The sequence below is a fragment of the Homo sapiens genome, chromosome 18 (genome assembly GCF_000001405.40).
Source record: "Homo sapiens chromosome 18, GRCh38.p14 Primary Assembly".
Classification (NCBI taxonomy): domain Eukaryota; kingdom Metazoa; phylum Chordata; class Mammalia; order Primates; family Hominidae; genus Homo; species Homo sapiens.
Window position 1 is genome coordinate 33,956,510 of NC_000018.10, and position 21,719 is coordinate 33,978,228.

General features: G+C 35.4%; 1 protein-coding gene across 31 annotated transcripts in view; it reads right to left on the reverse strand.

Moving 5' to 3' along the window:
• NOL4 (nucleolar protein 4) overlaps positions 1–21,719 on the reverse strand; it is a 373,814-nt gene that overhangs the window by 105,410 nt on the left and 246,685 nt on the right. For 18 of the 31 annotated variants that reach the window (XM_047437902.1, XM_047437901.1, XM_011526238.3 and 15 more), the window contains 2 exons: positions 1,730–1,909; positions 817–1,008 (listed from right to left, as the gene is read on the reverse strand). In XM_047437902.1, the coding sequence (XP_047293858.1) occupies positions 817–1,008; positions 1,730–1,909 (372 nt within the window). Of the gene's footprint in view, positions 1–816; positions 1,009–1,510; positions 1,621–1,729; positions 1,910–21,719 lie in introns of those variants that run through there. The other 13 variants (NM_001384470.1, NM_001384473.1, NM_001384468.1 and 10 more) reach the window with 2 other exon arrangements.

Below are 21,719 nucleotides of genomic sequence, written 5' to 3' on the forward strand. Positions count from 1 at the left end.
TCTCAAATAAGACAAGAAAAAAATGGTTTCACAAAATTTCGAAACTGCTCACATACATAGGAAATAAGAAAATGGGAAAGGCATACATTGTAAATGTGTGCGTTATTTCTAGATGTAACAATTAGAGCAAGGTGAAATAGAATAAAGTTTAAAAATCATTGATTTCTAATCTCCACCCTATCAGTAATCTAATGTCAACATAATCTCATCTGTCTATAACATCCACCTGAATATGAAAGCTCTTGGTACCATCCACCAGCACACAAATAAACATATCCAGTACAACAAATCCTTATATTTCACCTAAGCATTTTCATTCTCTGATCTTTACTTTCAAGGACTGCAATTTGTTAACCATTGATATGAAAATGGTATTCCTAGGTAGATCCATCTGTTTCCTTTTGATTTAGAGAATGCCATTGTTACATGCCATCTCAAGCAGTGACTGGTGCTTCAGTTCACAACTTAAATAACCTCATGCCCACTTTAGTAGCGACAGAAAGAAAACAAATATGAACGAGATGCTGGTTCTCACTGGTGTTTACTCATATCACCTTTATTTTCTGTGACATGGTACCACGTGGTTCTGTGAGCACTGGACTCACAAGATATTCCTTATTAAATAAACAAAGAGAATAAATACTTCAGGAAGATGAAAAGGAGAAGGGGAAAAAACAAACGAGCAAACAAAACCCCCTTTGACCTGACATTATGGAAAAAAATAAAAAAAGACACTAAGATGGAAAAAAAATAGTGTCATGGTTTACATGTGGGATTTTGATGGAGTCTAGGGCTGTGTTTTAATTCAAAACTCACCATCTCAAAACCACTTCTTTTCATCCGCCTGCAGGACTTGAGGTAAGTACGTATACGTTTTCTGGCACGCTCTTGATACTCAGGGAATTGTCGCCTGCATGAGTCAATGATAGCCTGGATCTTTTCTTTGGGCTGCTTAGAGATTGGGACCATTCGGTCCAAGTTTTCATCTACAAACAGCCTGACAAACATCTGTTGGCAAGAGGGAGACAGAGGAGAAGGGTTTGGAGGGCTGCTCTCTTCTGTTCCTAGCTTCCTGTCTTGATTACCGATAGGAAAATACTGTTTTCTGGTTTATGCACTGGAGAACTTTGCAATGGAAAGCCAGAAATTTTAAGCAAACACTCTTTAAAGACTTTCTAAATGGTTGGATTAAAAAATAGAGAGAAAAAGAGAGAAAGGCAGACAGACAGACAAACATACAGAAAAGAATAGACTATCGTGTAGAAAAAAATCAGGAAATAACAGAGACTGTGACAATTGAGCACCCCTTTACAATCTCTATTAATGATGAATACGACTGTTACATTGCTACACTGCACAGTGGACTAATCTCTGAAATCAAACAACTGACTCTTTTGTCATGCATAATTAGATAAGCTAGGAAAGCAAAAGAAATAACAGATGACGGGCGTACTCTTCCGAGGACTAAGCTGAGGCCCCCTCCATCCACTAGGTAAACATGCATACTCACACAACACAACTCCAGTTTTCAGCTCACATTTGGCTTTAAAATTCTAAACAAAACACAGCAATTCTGGTGTCTGGTTGGCAAAGAGTGTTTCATGTACTTTTTAAATCCTTCTGTAAATTAAACAAACATGTCTCTAAAATATCCACATTTACCAACAAGCAACAACATGAAAGTGAAGTGGTAAAAATTAAACCACACTTGGAGTGTGGCAGGACTCACATTAAAAGCTTTCAGCCGCTCGGCTTCAACGCCGTCTGTCTCATTAACTTTCTCCGAATCGTCATGGTCCTCGTGGTCATCTTCGTCCTCATCTCCCCTGTTTAGTGAGAGGTCCTCAGCTCCTCGGTCTACACTCTCATTTTTGCCAGAGTCATAGCTGGAGTAACTATGTGCAGGAGACTGAAAAGAGAAGGTGAAATAACTGCTTTTAAATTCATTGCACAAGCTTATAAGTTTTATGTTTCATCTTTAATTTCAACTGTTTCTCAAAAATCTTGTTTATGAGTTGATAACTCTAGAGCTGTGGTGATTTTAGTTTAAATAAAAATTAATTCAAATTAAATTAAAATTTCATTTCCTTGGTCACGTCACACTAGTTACATTGCAAGTACTTGTTAGCTGCATGGAACGTTTCCTTCACTGCAGAAAGTTTTATTGAACTTAGCTATGCAAGAGCAATTAGTGTTTCCTCTCAATACTCATATTCCAAATAAAAAAGCAATCTGTAATCGATTTTGCAAGGGAATCATTGAGTCACATATTCTTAGAACTTAATATGACCTCAGAGCATTGTCAATATTAGTACTAGTATTACACTTTATATAATATTGTATTATATCATATCAGTATTATGCTAACTTTATTAGTATTCTTTAAACAGTTATGGAAACTGAGGGATGTTCAATTAACTTACCCAGCAAGAGCTATACAAAATATTATTGACTATTAGTTATTAGTTAACATGCTTTAAAATAAATGTATTAATTGTCTATGAGTCTTAAGAGGTCATCTGATTTGGGTTTAGAAAATGGGAACCGGGTTTCTTCCTAATCCTCTGTTAAGTTTAATGTTTCTGGATTCTAACACCATTCAAAAGACACAACAAATTTAAAGCAAGAACAATTAAATAATAGTGACACATATTTCCATGTAAAAATAATTAAACATCTGAAAAATTGAAAATGTTTAACAGTTCATTTTCACATGAAACAGCTGATAGATAGCCTTCGTAGAGCCTCCGTTGTCAGAATACAATGCATAAGTATATCTACATGTTAATGGGGCTGTTTAAAATAAATAAACTGGCTTTGATCACTTTTCATTTTGGGATTACACTTATTCCAAATATTTTCTCTTGGGACCCTCTAGGATTATTCCAGAGTAAGTTTGGAAGAGTGACCTGGAAATACAGAAAATCCAAGTATATGGTGTGATAAGGAGCTTGAATCAGCCATGTACAGCATAACCACAAACTATTTTATATACTCTTTGAGACCATAACATTGATCAATCTTCTTAGCATATTCTAGGTAGTTTTGATAAGATACTAAACTAAGATGTAATCAAATTTAAAAATGAGTATTCTCTATTTATTTCTGTTTCATGATATAAAAGATATTTTTTGAGACATCACATACAATAAAGCAAATAATGAAGCAAGTGAGAGGTAAAGAGAAGAAATTAGTACTTAGAACAACTGCATACCTAGTCAATTGGTTCCCTTAAGCTTCATAGCAACCTGGTGAGAAAGGATTATCCTCCAGATTCTACAGATAAGGAAACAGCTTTAGAACATCTAAACAACCTCTTCTTATCTAAAGAATGAGATTATATAACTACTGTGTGAACCTAGGTCTGCCTAAGAGCTAAGAGTGATCACATAAGGTTTTCTCCTCGATATGAAGTTTTTCTTTCTAAGTGTGTGTGTGTGTGTGTGTGCGTGTATGCACATGTGTGTATAATTGAAAGAACATAAAATATGCATTGGTTTATGTACATGTTAATCTTTAAACAAAATATTTTATAAGTGATTTCCCCTAAAACTGCTATTCCACCTAAATAAATTGGATACATTATTTACATTTTCTTATAGAACAGTAAGCTGCAATTTATAAATCTTGAGTAAGAAGAATTATCACTTGCTATAAAATTTCCACATATAATAGAATCTATTTAAATAATTTATTAGTGCTTCATACACAGTTTTGCTTATTTGTTTTGCTGGATAAAGTAGAATAAAGATACACTATTGTAATCAAATGCAGATAATTACAGTTTCTTAAATACAAAACATCTATAGAAGGAAATAGTGACAAGCTTTCTTTTTTCAACTTAGGACTAAACATATTCTGGAATATATTTATTTTAGGAAAAATATATATTTAAGAGAATAAACTCTTAATAAACAGCAATAACATACAACTTTTAAGACCAACATGGTTAGTAGTAATTTCTAAAATCTCCTGCTCCAACTCCAAGTATCTATCTCAAAGTCAATCATTTCTTCCCTCAGCAAACCTTTACATTAAGTATCACTACACATTTGGTTTTGTGCCAAGATACTCTGCCACAGAGCAATTTTCATTCAACAAAGTATTTATGGGCAGCTATTATGCATCAGGCACTATTCTAAGCCTTTTAAATATATGACTCATTTACAATGAACTGGTTAAGTGATTTTCCCAATGTCACATAGCTAGCAAGTGAAAAAGGATCTGAACCCATGCAGTTTGGCTCTGAGTTTATCATCTTAACACTATTCTATGCTGTCTCTATAGCATGACTACTTATGAGGTTATTGTTATAATATCAGTAGAAATCAATTCCTAAGGCACTGTATTTCTTGACACCAACTTTTAAAATAGAAGTACCTCTGTGACAAGACATATTAAACCCATTTCATTATTTAACATCTAACTATGAATTTCCCCTGAGCCAATCTAATAGAATATATGTATTTTATATGGGCTGGAGCCTATTTAATAATGTTTTGTATTAATGAAGCATCTTAAAATTTACATGGAGCTTTAACCTTGACATAATAACTTCACAGAAGAACTAGTATTAATATATTAATATATTACATTATAAATGGTTTCAAATATATACATAATAATAATAAATGATATTAATATATCTGACAGTTAGTTTTATGTGTCAACTTGACAGGATGACACGGTGTCCAGGTATTTGGCTATCCATTATTTCCAGGTGTGTCTGTGAGGATACTTCTGGATGAGATTGGCAGTGGAAGTGGTGGATTCACTAAAACGGATTGTTCTTCACAGTGTGTGTGTAGGGTGGGTGAGGGGAGGGCCTAAGGGCATAATCCAGTGTCTTGAGGGCCTGAATAGAATACAAAGCAGAGGGAAGGAAAATTTGCCTATTCTGCCTGACTGCTGAGCTAAGAGACTTACTGAGAATTCTGAGTCCCCTGGTTCTTAGGGCTTCAAACTTGAACTGAACTCCACCACTGGCTTTCCTGGATATTCAGCTTGCAGATAGCAGATCATGGCACTTCTCAGTCTCCATAATCTCATGAGCCAATACTTTATTCTATATATTATATATCTTATTGATTCTGTTTCTCTGGAGAACCCTGAGTAGTAATTATATTATTCACATTATCAATGACTTCATTAAGGCTCAGTTAATTTAACTTGATGAGATAACCTCCGACACTGAGAAGAGTGGTAGAGAAGTTAAGTAGAGGCCATCCATTCATCACTGGGCTGGTAACACTACACAGGATTTCAGCATTGGAGGATCATGGGAGTTAGCAAAAGAAATGAAAATGTTGAGTTTTGGAATCTCAGTGGATTGCCAAAGTAGAAGGAGAAAGGCAAGTGTGTAAAGGAAGATGAATGCCAATCCAGACAATTTTCATTAACTTCTATAATTGTGTCCAAGACCAACCACGGGGCCTGTTATGGTATCTCCTACTTGTTTGCTGGCCCAGCACCTTTTTCTTTCAGAAATGGCCCCTCGCTCTACCAGGTAAAATTGCCAATCCCTTGGGTACCAACCTTCTCTATGCTAAGCATGCATCTTTGCCTCTACGTGAGATGGCTGGCCTGAGTCAAATCAAGCTGAATCCAGCAGAGCTAAGGAGCATAGAGTCGTGATAGCATCATTTGTGCATCTAGATCTCACTATTACTGAAATTAAGCCCTGGACCCTTAAGTTGTATAATACCATACATCCTCCACCCACCCACATGCTTTTAAATTTTGCTTAAATTTGAGTTTCAGTCACCTGAGATTGAATCTGGAGTGGCACAGCCACCAATCATTAGAAGCCAGATTAACAATATAGATTTCACACATGATCATTCAAATATATAGATGGCCCCAGCCAAATGAATAATACTATCTTTGTAAGCAGCAGGAGATATTCTCGAATCTACCAACAAAGTAAAATGATAGTGAATAACCTTTATGAAGGGAAAATTTAAATTGACAGTGTTCAAAACTGCCTCCATGCAATGATAACATATGTGTAGCATGCTTTAAGGATCATACTAACATATCATAACTATATAGTCAGTGGAGGAATAATAAAACTAGAACAGATCTCTGACATTAACAGTAAAGTTAAATTTTAAAAATCAGCATAATATCTTTACAGTTCACATCATTAACAAGGTGGAATTAGCTAATAAAATATATTAAGGAAAATATTCCATAGGTTTGAAAAGTCTATCTTTTTAAATCTAAAATGTAATAAGCATAATATATTTTGAATGGCAATGTGAAATATTTAAAAATGTTACAATATGGTTATTTGAATGCAAATATTCTGGGCTAATTCATTCAATGCAGCTGTTTGATGGACACAGAACCAGTTGGAACAGTAAAAAATGTATAGCCCTGTTTACTCAAGTTTTAAAGAACGTGCAATCTTGCAGATCTGAAAATATTCAGGATCTAAATCTCAAGGATGATTGATGTTATTTTGCTCTACAAAACAAACTGAAATTTTTATAACTGAATTCTGCTTTTCAGCTGGATTATCATTTCTTGCCTCTCTTACCATTTAGGACCTATCATTTAAGGCCGAATTAAGTTCACTTTCCACAAAGATTCCAGCTTCTACCCTAGTCTACTTCAATCTTTCCCTAAACTGTGAAGCCAAGTTACTTAATTTGACACAGATTTAAACACTATAATTGTTCTCTACTTTCCATATTAATTTGCATTTTTCTTCAAACTAGTCTGAGATAAGAACCAACACATATCCCTCACAGAATCCAAGACATGAGCTTTACAGATTGCAATTCAAGACTGACTATAATTTCTCTTTTTTCTATAAAACTATTTGGTTTTCATAAATGGGGGAATGTGAGTATTGGAATGGTATCATAGGCTCAGGGAATACAAGTTACTATAGGTCTCCAAATAACCCATATAATATATGGCAGCCATTTGCCCCATAAGCCTGCCTTGCCTTAATAAGAACTTTGGATGACTATAGCCTAGGAAACCTTCATTTCAGGTGCAATTGTTTTCTTACTTCAAGTATAAACCTAAAAAAATCCAAACCAGAACTAAAATAAAGATCCAAAGTTATTAAAGAACCACAATTTAGGCTCTATGGAAGATGGATACATGCTTATCCTCAAAACACAGGTGTTGGCTTATGGGGATAAGGGTAGATTTTTGCCTTAGCTATATACTTTGCTTATTCCTCCCATGATAAAACGTGGCTTTCCTCAGCAAAGAGGCTTCTGAGAATACATTTGACCTTTCCTTTTCTCAAATTTTCCCATCCCAATAGAACTGCCAGCATTAGGCCTTGAAAATTCCCACTTGAAGGAAACGTGACCTGTTTGCTTATCTGTAGTCAGAGCCTAGGATGGCTCAGATAGCAACACCACAGTGCTTGGTGTTAGACACAGCTGCGGTTGGGAGCTGTGTCTGATATTTGCAGCCAGTGGAAAAAAGGCGAACCTGTGTTTCCTCATTATGTCCTAAATGAGGGAAGAACACATGAATTCAGTGCCAGGTGTCTATGCTTTCACGTGCTTTGCATATCTATGTCACAGCAGTGATCGTAAGGTATCATGCAAACGAGTTTATATGTTCATATTCCATGCAGTCTGAGAGTTACTTGAGGGGAGAGTCACATAGGCACCTTTCATCTTTATAACATTGCACAATGCCAAACACATAGAAGGAATAAAGTAAACGTTTTCTGAGTGAGTGACTGATTACACTTTTGAGTTACACTGAAGATGATTTAATTTTTTAAATTGCAATTTTAAAAACTATCTTATATTTCCTTTAAAAAATATCAGTTATTCATCAGTGAGTTTACAAGCAATGTCAGTATCATTATAAGTGTAATGATCTAGCACTGTGTGTCTTCTGATATTATATGAAGCACATGGCACTACTCAAGAAGTAAACTCACCATCAAGAAAGAAAGAAAGAAAGAGAGAAAGGAAAACAAAGAAAAGAAAGAAAAGAAAGGACAGAAAAGAAAGAAAAGAAAGGAAGGAAGGAAGGAAGATAGGAAGGAAGGAAGAGAAAGAGTGAGAAGTTGAACCCAAACTTTAATCTAGAAACAGTGGTTCTCAAAATGTGCTGGTTGCACTAGCAGGATCAGCATCTCCTGGAAACCTCCTAGAAATGCAAAGGCTCAGCTCCCTCCCAAGATCAACTTTGGATGTAGGCCCAGCAATCTGTGTTTTAACATGACCTCCATGAGATTCTGAGGCACAGTCAAGCTTGAGAACCACTTGTCTGGAGCTAAATTCCATTTGTAAGAAAAATGGCAGAGAGAGAAGTTAAATCACACCAGAGAAAGCACACAGGTAAATCCAAAATATGAGACATTGGGCAGGGCAATTGACCTTGGTTTTGCAACAATTTACTGATAGAGAAATAAGATATATTAAAGGAGATTTAAGAGATATAATCAAATAAAATGTGTAACCCTTGCTTGTATTATGATTCAAAGAAACCCAAAGCAAGAGACATTTTTTGAGAAAAGTAAAAATATTCTATTATAGATGAGGAAAATATATAGTAACATGGAATTATTAATTTTTGTTAGATGTAATACCTTAACATTTGGTTAAGTAAATATGTAACAAAATATCCACACTTGTTAGAGATACAAGTTAAGATATGGAGATGATACGACAAGAATGCCTGAGATATGCTTTAAAATACTATAGAAGGTCAGGTTATGTCTATAATCCCAGAACATTGGGAAGTCAAAGCAGGAGGATTGCTTGAGGCTAGGAGTTTAAGACAAGCCTGGGCAACATAGTGAGACCTCCATCCCTAAAAAACAAACAAACCAACCAAAAACCAAAAACAATTATACAAGCATGGTGGCATGCATCCCTAGAAGTGTACTGGGGAGGGTGAGGCAGTAGTATTGCTTGAGCCCACGAATCCCAGGCTGCTGTGAGCTATGATCCTGCCACTGAACTCCAGCCTGGGCAACAGAGCAATACCTTGTGATACGGTTTGGCTGTGTCCCTACCCAAATTTCATCTTGAATTGCAGTTCCCACAATCTGCATGTATCATGGGAGAGACCCAGTGGGAGGTAGTTTAACCATGGGGGAGGTTTTCCTCATGCTGTTCTTGTGATAGTGAGTTTTCATGAAATCTGATGGTTTTATAAGAGGCTTTTCCCCTTCTGCTCAGCACTTCTCCTTACTGCTGCCATGTGAAGAAGGATGTGTTTTCTTCCATTTCCACCAGGATTGTAAGTTTCCTGAAGCCTCCCCAGCCATGCTGAATTGTGAGTCAATTAAACTTCTTTCCTTTATGAATTACCCAGTCTTGGGTACGTCTTTATTAGCAGCATAAGAATGGACTAATACTCCCTGTCTCTTAAGAGAAATTAAAATACTACAGAAAAAAAGTTAAAAAGTTAAAAAATGTGGGAAAGTCTTAAACACTGTTCAGTTTAGGTGATGAGTACTACTGGTTCATTGTAGTCTCTATTTTAAAATATATTTTATATTTTCAAAATAAAATTTAAGTTTATAAATGTTGTGATTGATTTTATATCCCCTCTGTTTTGACTATTTCTATATTAACTTATTCAACAACATTTAAGAAGCACTACTTCATGTTTAGAGCATTGTTTTAGGTTCACATGATTGGATGAATCCACATTTTGTAAAGCCTGAAAGTTATAAAATTTAGAGAGGGGGCTGTTTTGAAACATTAGATTAAAAAGTTACTATTTATTTAAGATGAGGAGAATAACCACAAATTACAAAATTTTTGAAAGCTTCTAAATATATAAAATACCTCAAAATATTAACAGCCATCTATGACAGGCCCACAGCAAAAATCATACTGACTAGGCAAAAGCTGGAAGCATTTCCATTAAGAACTGGAACAAGATAAGGTTGCTCACTCTCATCACTCCAGTTCCACATAGTACTGGAAGTCCTAGCCAGAGCAATCAGACAAAAGAAAGAAATAAAAGCCATCAAAATAGAAAAGGCAGTCAAATCATCTCTCTTTGCAGATGATATTATTCTATATTTTGAAAACCTTAAAGTCTCCAGCAAAGGGACCCTAGAACTGATAAACCACTTCAGTGAAGTTTTAGGATACAAAATCAACATATAAAAATCAGTAGCATTTTTACACACCAAGAATGTTCAAGCTGAGAACCAAATCAACAATGCAAACACCAATAATGTTCAAGCTGAGAGCCAAATCAAGAATGCAATCTCATTTAAAATAGCCACACACAAAAATGAAATACTCTAGAATATATACAACCAATGAGGTAAAAGACCTCTACAAAGAGAGTACTACTTAAAGAAATCAGAGATGACATAAGCAAATGGAAAAATATCCCATGCTCATGGATTGGAAGAATCAATCTCATTAAAATGACCATAATTCCCCAAACAAACTACAGAGTCAACGCTATTCCTATCAAATTTCCAATGACATTTTTCACAGAATTAGATAAATCTATTCTAAAATTCATATAGAATTTTAAAAAGCTCAAATAGCCAAAGCAATTCTAAGCAAAAAACAAAGCCAGAGGCATCACACTACCTGATTTCAAACTACACTACAAGGATACGATAACGAAAACAGGATGAAACTGGTACAGAAACAGATACATGGACCAATGGAACAGAATAGAGAGCCTAGAAATAAAGCCACACACCTACAACCATCCAATCTTCAACAAAATTGACAAACACAAGCAATAGGGAAAAGACATCCTATTCAATAAATGGTGCTGGGATAACTGGCTACCCATATGCAGGAGAATGAAACTGGACCACTACCTATCACCACATACACAAATTAACTCAAAGTGGATTAAATGTAAGATCTCAAACTATAAAAATTCTAGAAGACAACCTAGGAGATACTCTTGTGGACATCATCTTTGGCAAGTAATTTATCACTGAGTCCTCAAAAGCAACTGCAACAAAAACAAAAATTGACAAGTGGGACCCAAATAAACTAAAGAGCTTCTGCACGGCAAAACAAATTAGCAGAGTAAACAGACAGCCTACAGAATAGGAGAAAATGTTCATAAACTATTCATCCAACAAAGTTCTAACATCCAGAGTCTATAAGTAACTTAACCAATTCAACCAACAAAAAACAACCCCACTAAAAAGTGGGCAAAGGACATTAATAGACATTTCTCTAAAGAAGACTTACAAGTGGCTAACATGAAAAAATCTTCATCATAATTAATTATTAGCAAAATGCAAATCAAAACCACAATAAGATACCATCTCACTCCAGTCAGAATGGCTATTATTAAAAAGTCAAAAAATAATCTGGGCACGGTGGCTCATGCCTGTAATCCCAGCACTTGGGGGGCCGAGGCAGGCGGATCACAAGATTAGGAATTTGAGACCAGCCTGGCCAATATGGTGAAACCCTGTCTCTACTAAAAACACAAAAATTAGCCAGGCGTGGTGGCGGGCACCTCTAGTCCCAGCTACTTGGGGGGCTGAGGCAGAAGAATGGCTTGAACCCGGAAGGCTGAGGTTGCAGTGAGCCGAGATCGTGCCACTGCACTCCATCCTGGGTGACAGAGTGAGACTCCATCTCAAATAAATAAATAAATAAATAAATAAAAATTAAAATAAAAAAATAGCGGATTCTGACGAGACAGTAGAGAAAAAAGAATGCTTACACACTGTTGATAGGAATGTAAATGAGTTCAGCCACTGTGGAAAGCAGTTTGGTGATTTCTCAAAGAGCTTAAAACAGAACTACTATTTGACCCAGTAATCCCATTACTGCATACAAGCCCAAGGGAAATCAAATCATTTTACCAAAAAGACACATGCAATTATATGTTCATCACAGGACCATTCACAATAGCAAAGACATGGAATCAATTTAGGTGCCCATCAGTGGTGGACTGGATAAAGAAAACATGGTACATATACATCATGGACTACTACATAACCATAAAATAATGAAATCATGCTGCAACATGGATGCAGCTGTAGGTCATTATCCTAAGGGAATTAACACAGAAAGAGAAAACCAAATAGCACATGTCAACACTTATAAGGGAATATAAACATTGGGTACAAATGAATATAAAGATTTGAACAACAAACTTTGAAGACTACTAGAGAGAGGAGGAAGGAGGGTAGTGGGGAAAGGGTTTAAAAACTACCTATTGGGTACTATGCTCACTACCTGTGTGAGGGGATCAATCATACCCCAAACTTTAGCATCATGCAATATGCCCATGTAACAAACCTGCACATGTACCCCGGGAATCTAATTTTTTAAAAAAATCTTCTAAGTGCCACAAGCAACACAAATGCAAAAATAAATGACATTTTCCCATTTTTCTTGGCTGCATGCTCTTTGACTGCTTCTTCATACGACAACAGTTATGTAGTAATATATTCTATTGAAAGAATAGAAAAATAATTCAGTCTTTATTCTGTCTAATGAAAATGTCTTTTATTCTTGACAGTTTATGTTTTTTACTGTTCAAATTAATTATTGCTAATATCATGCAAACTGTTAGATTATGTTTAGTTTGGGGAAACCTTTAATCAAGTTCCTTTCATGTCTGAACCATGAGATTTCAGGACATTTTAAGTTTCCCTGCGCAGTGATTGATGCCTTCATTAAAGCAGCGTTTATGAGTCTTATGTTTTCTTCATTGATATCAATATTTTTTGTCAAATCCAACATGCAACTTAAATCTTCTCGCAATATGATAATATAATTCATTCCTCTTCATTAATTCTATTATTTCTTCCTCCTAAAGAAATATTACCTTCGATATGGACTGAAGTTTATTGCAACTCACTTCTCATTATCAGAGAAATATTCTTTATATTTCACTTTTCATCTTTATTTTTTTCATATTACATTAGCACTTTATCTGAATGTGCTCTCAATCTTGTATTAAATAAATAGACAACAAAATGATGTAGGCTTCTTCATATATTTCCAAATTAGGAGTCTGTAATTTCTCAGCTTTTTCCAAAAGGTCAAAATTGAAATTGCAGTTTAAATGTCACATTCCACTGTGTGAAGGGCACACAAGATATCTTTTTATTATTACTTAACAACTGCATGTGAATCTGCAATTATTCATTTGTATAACCATAGATGGTATATGGTATCTGGTTTACTCATTTACCATTTTGTATATGCTTTCCCATTATTTACATTAATTCTTCTTAATCAATTTTGGACAAATAAGTCACATTTGACATTGCATTTTGACATTTTTCCAGTGCTTGTCCAAAAAAAAAAAAAAAGATCAAATTTAACAATTACTTTGAAGATTCCCATGAAATTGTCATTTAAAAATAAATCCTTTTATCATAACCTGCCAATGAAAATCTCTTCCGCTTAATAATTTTTAAACCTCAGCTACATTTTTTAGGCACTTCAAAATGATAGAGAACATTATTTTAAGCCTTGTTTTTCAAGATATTGTCTGGCTAGAGCAGTGTTATTTTCATTTTGTCATGCGTTGAAATCGCCCAAAGGACTTGGTAAAACAAGTTACTGGACCCATTCAGTAGGTCTACAGTGGGGTCCAAGAATTTTGATTTCTAGCGAGAGCCCAAGTGATGCAGCTCCTGAAAGTCTGAGGAACACACTTTGAGTTCTTAGTGTTTTTGTTTGATTTACATGTAATTCAAATAAGTATAGCCATTATGAGCTCCATGGAATCTTCATGATATTTGAGAGTTCTTAATATATTTATCCATTCTAAAAACCCAGATATGTAATATTTGTCTTGTTGAAAATATTGTAGTTTACAACAAAACAGTATATATGACCTTTGGTTTTTAAATAAACTGGTCAGTATCTCATCAGTTTGACACTTTATTTTTATCTTTCCCATAAAATATGGTTGAAAAAATTGTTTATTAATGTTTTGTTGAATCTTTGACATACTGACATTTTTAAGCTTATGCCAGTCTTTCATTATTTTGGCTTCATGTGACATACTTACTTTCTTTTATGTATGAATTGTAGAATGACCAATGATTCTGAAGAAATACACAAAATTATTATAAAATTAAGGCCTATAATTCAAATAATAAGGCCTATACTTTAAAAATTAAAAGTTTTAAACTGTAGGATCACATTATTCTCATAACTTATACAGATCACATTATCCTCATAACTTATACAGAATGTTAGATAAATCTATATATAGAACTTTCGTTACTGGAAAACTTACTTCTTCAAGCTATTTGTGTGTGTGTGTGTGTGTGTGTGTGTATGTGTATGTGTGTGTCAGTGGCAACTTTGTATGTTATTTCTCTCGGAGTTTCCAGGCCTCATCTGGACAATTATATGTTTGATACAATATGCTGAGAGAAATTCGATAGGTGAGATCCATACAATGTGTGAAAAGAGTGTTAGGTGTTCTCGGGCCTGCTATGAGTTTATGTCATGCAAACACAAGAATTCAGATAAAGTCTTTTGTGTGGGATTCCAATAAAAGAAGGAAAAGGTGGTGTGCTTATTCAATATTTCTTCAAAGGACAGACCTTTTCATTTTGACTAGGTGTCGGTGAGATACAAATCCTACATTTTGTATTTTACATGTATAATAATTGGAAGAACGTGAAAGAATGTTTTTCATTCTAAACTATGGCTGAAAACAGTTCAGTTTTTGTTTCTCCTGTTTCCATTTCCCTTATACTTTCATACCAGGAATAATAGCACATGTTCATATCAGAATCTGTAATCCCAAACACCTGTGTGGCATAATGCAGTTACGTTTGTTGGTTGAAATATTTCTGGAAGTTATTCCTATATTGGGATGATTAGCAGCAACTCAAATGCATACAGAAGTGACAGTGAACATTCTCTTTTCCTCCATTGTTTTGTAGAAAGTGTTCTGTGTATGAGAATTTTGCAGTTGGATCTGTCCTTTACAAGATAGGAAAATGATCAAATGAGAAGAAAAAAAGGACATTATTCAGAGATCCTAGACTTGAAACTGTTTACAATAACAATGAAATTTTGAGGTGATGTATTTTTGTAGAGGGGTCATATTTTCAGTTTACTCTTGTGAACTGCATTTTACAAAGGAAGTATTTCTAATTTTTAGAACTGTAAGTGATGTTGGGAGACCTAAGAGAAAATGTACAGTTCTAGGGGTAATTACTAGTGCTCAGTCTTAAAGTACTTTCATCAGGTAACTTCTGCAAAGTAAACCGGGGCACTGTTCCTGCCTGCAAAGGTTCCAAGCCTGATTCTCCACCCCTTCCAGAGATTACTTTATATAAATATTTTTTTTTCTGCTGTAATAAGCCTGTTGTCTACAGCTAAAATTTATGAATCCTACAAACATCAGACTCTTTGATGTGTAAATTAACATTTGAACCAAAAATACTTTTTTAAGGCTGATCACAGTGGCTCATACCTGTAATCCCAGCACTTTGGGAGGCCAAGGCAGGTGGATCATCTGAGGTCAGAAGTTCAAAACCAGCCTGGCCAACATGGTGAAGCCCCATCTCAACTAAAAAGTACAAAAATTAGCTGGGCGTGGTGGGCATCTGCAATCCCAGCTACTCGGGAGGTTGAGGCAGGAGAATGGCTTGAACCCGGGAGGTGGAGGTTGCAGTGAGCTGAGATCATGCCACTGCACTTCAGCATGGGAGATAGAGTGAGACTCTGTCTCAAAAAAAAAAAAAAATTTAAACAAAAATTTAGTCCAAAGATTAAATCATTTATGGTATGCTGCAATTTTTTAAAGCTAAAAGTAAATGTATAAAAATGCCTGCAACTCAACAATAAAAAAAAACAAATAACCTGATTAAAAAATGAGCAAAGTATTTAAATCAACATTTCTCTAAAGATGACCAAGAAACATATGACAAGATGCTTAGCCTTACTAATTATCCGAAAAATGCACACCAAAACTATAAAAAGCTACCACCTCTCACCCATTAGGATGGCAACTATATATATATTTTTAAAAAAGTGTTGAGGATGTTGTGGAAAAGTTGGAACCCTTGCGCACTATTGGTGGGATTGTAAAATCGTGCAACTAACATAGAAAACAGTATAGCACTTCCTCAAAAAATTAAAGATAGGACTACCATATTTTCCAGCAATCTCACTTCTGGGTATATACAGGCATACATTGGAGATATTGCAGGTTGGGTTTTCAACCACTGCAATAAAGTGAATACCATAATAAAGTGACTTACACAAATATTTTTGTTTCCCAGTGCATACAAAAGCTATGTTTACAGTATACTGTAGTCTATTAAGTGTGCAATAGCACTAGTTCTAAATAAAGCAATGCACATATCTTAATTTAAAAATACTCTATTTCTAAAAAATGCCAAAAATCATTGGACCCTTCAGTAAGTCATAATCTTTTTGCTGGAAGAAGGTCTTGCCCCCATGTTGATGGTTGCTGACCGATCAGCATGGTGATTGCTGAAGCATAGGGTGGCTGTGACAGTTTCTTGAAATAACACAACAATGAAGTTGGCCACATTCATTGACTGTTCCTTTCATTCAAGATTTCTCTGTAACATGTGAGGTTGTTTGATAGCATTTTACCCAGAGTAGAATTTCTTTCAAAATAAGAGTCAATCCTCTCAAACTCTGCTGCTGTTTAATCAATTAAGCTTAAGCTTATGTAATATTCTAAATCTTTTTGTTTGTTTATTTGTTTGTTTCAACAATGCTCACAGGATCTTTACCAGGAGTAGATGCTATCTTAAGAAACTACTTTCTTTGATTATCCATAAGAAGCAACTCCTCATCTGTTCAAGTTTTATCATAAGATTGCAGCAATTCAGTCACATCTTCAGGCTCCAGTTCTGATTCTACTTCTCTTGCTATTTCCACACGTCTACAATGACTTCCTCTACTGAAGGCTTGAATCTCAAAGTCATTCATGAGGGTTGGAATCAACTTCTTCCAAACTCCTGTTAATTTTGCTATTTTGATCTTCTCCCATGAATCACAAATGTTTATAACGGTATATGGAATACTGTATTCTTTCCGGAAGGTTTTCAATTTACCTTTTTCTGATCAAGCAGAACAATTAGTAGCTATGGCAGCCACAGCCTTGGGAAATGTATTCCTGAAATATAAGACTTGAAAGTCAAAATTACTCCTTGATCTGTCAGCTGCAAAATGGATGTTGGTTAGCAGGCCTGAAAACATCATTAATCTTCTTGTGTATCTCCATCAGAGCTCTTGGGTGACCAAGCGCACTGTGCGGGAGCAGTAATATTTTGAAACGAATCTTTTATTCTGACCAGTAAGTCTCAATAGTGGGCTCAAAATATTAAGTAAACCATGCTGTACACAGATGGGCTGTCATCTAGGCTCTGTTCCATTTATAGAGCACAGGCAGTGTAGATTTAGCAAATTCTTAAGGGCCGTAGGATTTTCATAATGATAAATGAGCATTGGGTTCCACTTAAAGCCGCCAGCTACATTAGCCCCTAACAAGATAGTTAGCTTGTCCTTTGAAGCTTTGAAGCCAGGCATTAACTTTTCTGACTATAAAAGTCCTAGATGGCTTCTTCTTCTAATAAAAGGCTATCTTGTCTACATTGAAAATCTGTTGTTTAGCATAGCCACCATCATCAATAATACTAACTCGATCTTCTGGATAACTTGCTGCAATTTCTACATCAGCATTCGTTGCTTTACCTTGCATGTTTATGTTCTGGTGAAGGCCTCTTTCCTTAAACCTTCTGAACCAACCTCTACTAGCTTCCAACTTTTCTCTTGAAGCTTTCTCACCTCTCCCAGCATTCACAGAATTCAAGAAATTTAGGGACTTGCTCTGGAATAGGCTTTGGCTTAAGGGAATATTGTGGCTGGTTTGATGTTCTATCCAGACTATTAAAACCTTCTCCATATCAGCAATAAAGCTGTTTTGCTTTCTTATTATTCATGTGCTCATGAATAATGGAGGAGGACTTTTAATTTTCTTCAGAAGGCTCAAGGAGAGGGAGAGAGATGGGGGAACAGCCAGTCATTGGAGTAGTCAGAATACACACGACATTTATTTATTTCATCATCTTATATGGGAGAAGTTTGTGGTGATCAAAAACAATTACAATATTAACACTGAAGATCACTGATCATAGATCACAGTAACAGATACAATAATAATGAAAAAGTTTATTACATTGCAAGAATCGCCAAAATGCAACACAGAGACACAAAGGGAGCACATGCTATTAGAAGAATGGTGCCAATAGACTTGCTTGACACAGTTTCCTCTAAACTTAAATTTGCAAAAAAAAAATTCACTATCTGTGAAGTACAATAACTCAAAGCACAATGAAACAAGGTGTGCCTGTATCCAAAAGAATGGAAAGCAGGATCTCAAAAGATATTTGCATACCCATATCCATGGCTTTACTGTTCACAGTATCCAAGAGGTGAAAGCAATTCAACTGTCCATGGCTGGATGAATGAATAAATAAAATGTGGTATATACATACAATGGGATACTATGCAGCCTTAAAAAGTAAGGAAATCCTATCACACACTGCAACATGGATGAATCTTGAGTTCATTACACTATGTTAAATAAGACCCTCACAAAAAAGCAAATACTGATAATTTCACTTACGTGAGGTATCTAGACCAGTCAAACTCATAGATATAAAAAGTAGAATGATAGTTACCAGTGGCTGGGAGAAGGAAGCAAAGGGGAATTCTTGTTTAATGGGTATAGTGTTTCCATTCTGCAAGATGAAAAGGTTCTGGAGATCTGTCGCACAACATTGTGAATGTAGTTAACTGTACACTTAAAAATAGTTAAGATGCTAAAATTATGAGACTTTTTTATACCACCATAAAAACAGAAATAAAATATTTTCATTAAAAATTACCATTTGTACAAAGAAGAAATCTAATTATAAGGTAAGGAATATCTTCTTCTTTTCCTTTACTCTGATCTACTCTCATGTATTTGTTTTCACAAGACTGAGCTCACTATTCACAATACAATGGGGTTGTTAAAAGGCCGGGTGCAGTGGCTCATGCCTGTAATCCCAGCACTTTGGGAGGCCAAGGCGGGCAGATCACGAGGTCAGGAGTTTGAGACCAGACTTGGCCAACATAGTGAAACCCTGTCTCTACTAAAAATACAAAAAAATTAGCCAGGCATGGTGGCGGGTACCTGTAATCCCAGCTACTCAGGAGGCTGAGGCAGGAGAATTGCTTGAACCTAGGAGGCAGAGGTTGCAGTCAGCCGAGTTGGCGCCACTGCACTCCAGCCCAGATGTAAAAAAAGTAAATAAATTAATTTTAAAAAGGCAATTGGTGAAGAAATTAATACACATGGAAATAAAATGCCCTCATGTCAAGCATCTCTCCCTTTTCTCTCAGTTAATGGTGGTCCTTTGCAGAAGGCACTGTTGGACACAACTTCTGAATAGTAAGGAAGACATTGAGAACACAGCTGTCATGGATTTTTGCTGAACACAAAACTTTTTATTCTGATGAATGTAATTTGATTTATTAATGACAGGAAATCATCTTATGAGAAAGAGTTTTTTGAGGATGGAGGGCCTTAGAGACAGGCAGTACAATCACACAGAGAAATTAAACACTGAACAGATAACAATCTTAGACACTAAACACATTTCAAGGCAGAAGAGAAGAGAAATACAGGTCAGGGGCTGGGGAGGGGCTAAGCTGTCTTTATAAAATGGGTTTAGAACAACTGATCCTTGTGACCGTCTCACAGCACACAAGCCTGGTGTGCTATATGGTTATTGAAGGTTTTCTGTCAGAGAAAAATTGCTCCACCATTCTGCAGATTTCATTTAGGAATACAAGGCATATGTCAAAAGCAATGCATTTTATTTGAAGCTATTACATACTTCCTTGTAAAAGAATTTCTTGAGAGAGTTTACATATATTTTAACCAATTTAAGTTTAAAATGTCAATCCTAGATTTAACTCCTTTCCAAGTTACAAACACAATTATTAAAGTTATTACCTATCATTCTGAAGTAGAAGTCCCAAAATGGCAAACTTCATCTTTTGATACCTCAGTTTAGTTTCCACAATTGAAATAGTAGAAGGTAAAAATATCAGATCTCAGGATGCCTATTGTGAATATCATTTAGATTTTGGGAAAGTACTTTGATGTTTGATGATGAAAAAAAGTTATGCATACTGTTAATGAATTTCTGTAAGTCTGATTTTACTATACTGTTATCTCATATTTATAGAACTACATTTTTCTCCTTTTAGAGTTAAGTTTGAGTTAGAGGTGAGCCTTGAAGGTGATTTGAACTCCCAGTAATTAATTTCATCACCACCAATTCAAATAATTATAATATTGTATTGATTTGAGGGCACTATTAATATTTTTATTCAAAAGGAAGTAGTTTTATATAAATATTTATTTCACTGGCCTAGGCTTTAGACATTAAAAGACAATTGCTGCTTAACAATGGAATTGCCCAGCCTGGCATCTATTTTTGCACTACTCTTAGGTTGCATATAGAATAGTTTTGTTTCATTTGTCTTATTTTAAAAATAACTCTAATAGTAAATGATAGCAACATCATCATCCTCATTAATAATAATAATATATACAGTAATGATAATTTGGTCTTATAGTGTGCTTATTATATTCCAGAACAGTACTTAGTACTTTACACATATCAGAGTTCATTCTCACAAAGATCCCATGAGGTAGATACTATTACATTCACTTTAGCAGTGAGAAAAATGAGAGTGAATAGTGGAGTTGCAATTTAAACTCTATAGCCTAGTGATATTTGGCTGTGTCCCCACCCAAATCTCATCTTGAATTGTAGCAACCATAATCCCCACGTGTCATGGAGGGACCCAATGGGAGGCAACTGAATCATGGGGGAGAGTTTTTCCCAAGGTTTTCTAATGATAGTGAATAAGTCTCATGAGATCTGATGGTTTTATACAGGACAGTTCCCCTGCATATGTTCTCTTGACTATGCCATGTAAGATGTGACTTTGTTCCTCTTTCGCCTTCCACCATGATTGTGAGGCCTTCCCAGCCATGTGGAACTGTAAGTACATTAAACCACATTTTCTTTATAAATTACCTAGTCTAGGGTATTTCTTCACAGCAGTATGAAAATGAACTCATACATCTAGCTTCAATGCCTACCCATCCATACCTACTATGTTATCGAATACAAGGTTTAACTGAGATAATATCTGGTTTGATATTTATTATGTTGACGTCATGTGACATATAAATATATTCTTAAATTAAATTATATGTTCATATATGTATTGGTCAGTATAATGCTAGCTGCAGTTACAGACAAAATCCCCCCAATCTCAGTGACTAAATACAGTCTGGTTATCATTCTCATGAAGTTTAACATGTTTTCCCTGACTGGAAAAAGACTTCACATGTGGTTTCCTAGGCTCCTTCCCACTGTGGAAGTCTAGGCCTTGGAGACCTTTGTATCCAGCCAGTAGAGAAGGAAAGAAGAATCATGCATGGAAAGTTGCTATGGGCTGGTGCTGGAACTGCATTTTTCTCTCCATGCATTTTCCATTGCCCAGAACTCAGTCACATGGGCAAGGAAAATTTGGAAATGCTGTTTAACTGTGTGCTCAGGAGGAAGAGAATATTGGGTTGGTGACCAGTTGGCCGCTATCTGCCAAACTGGTCTTTACCTATCTATCTGTTGAATATTCTCTTTATATTTTCTTATTCCAAAATTAATATTTATTGAAAGATATATGTCT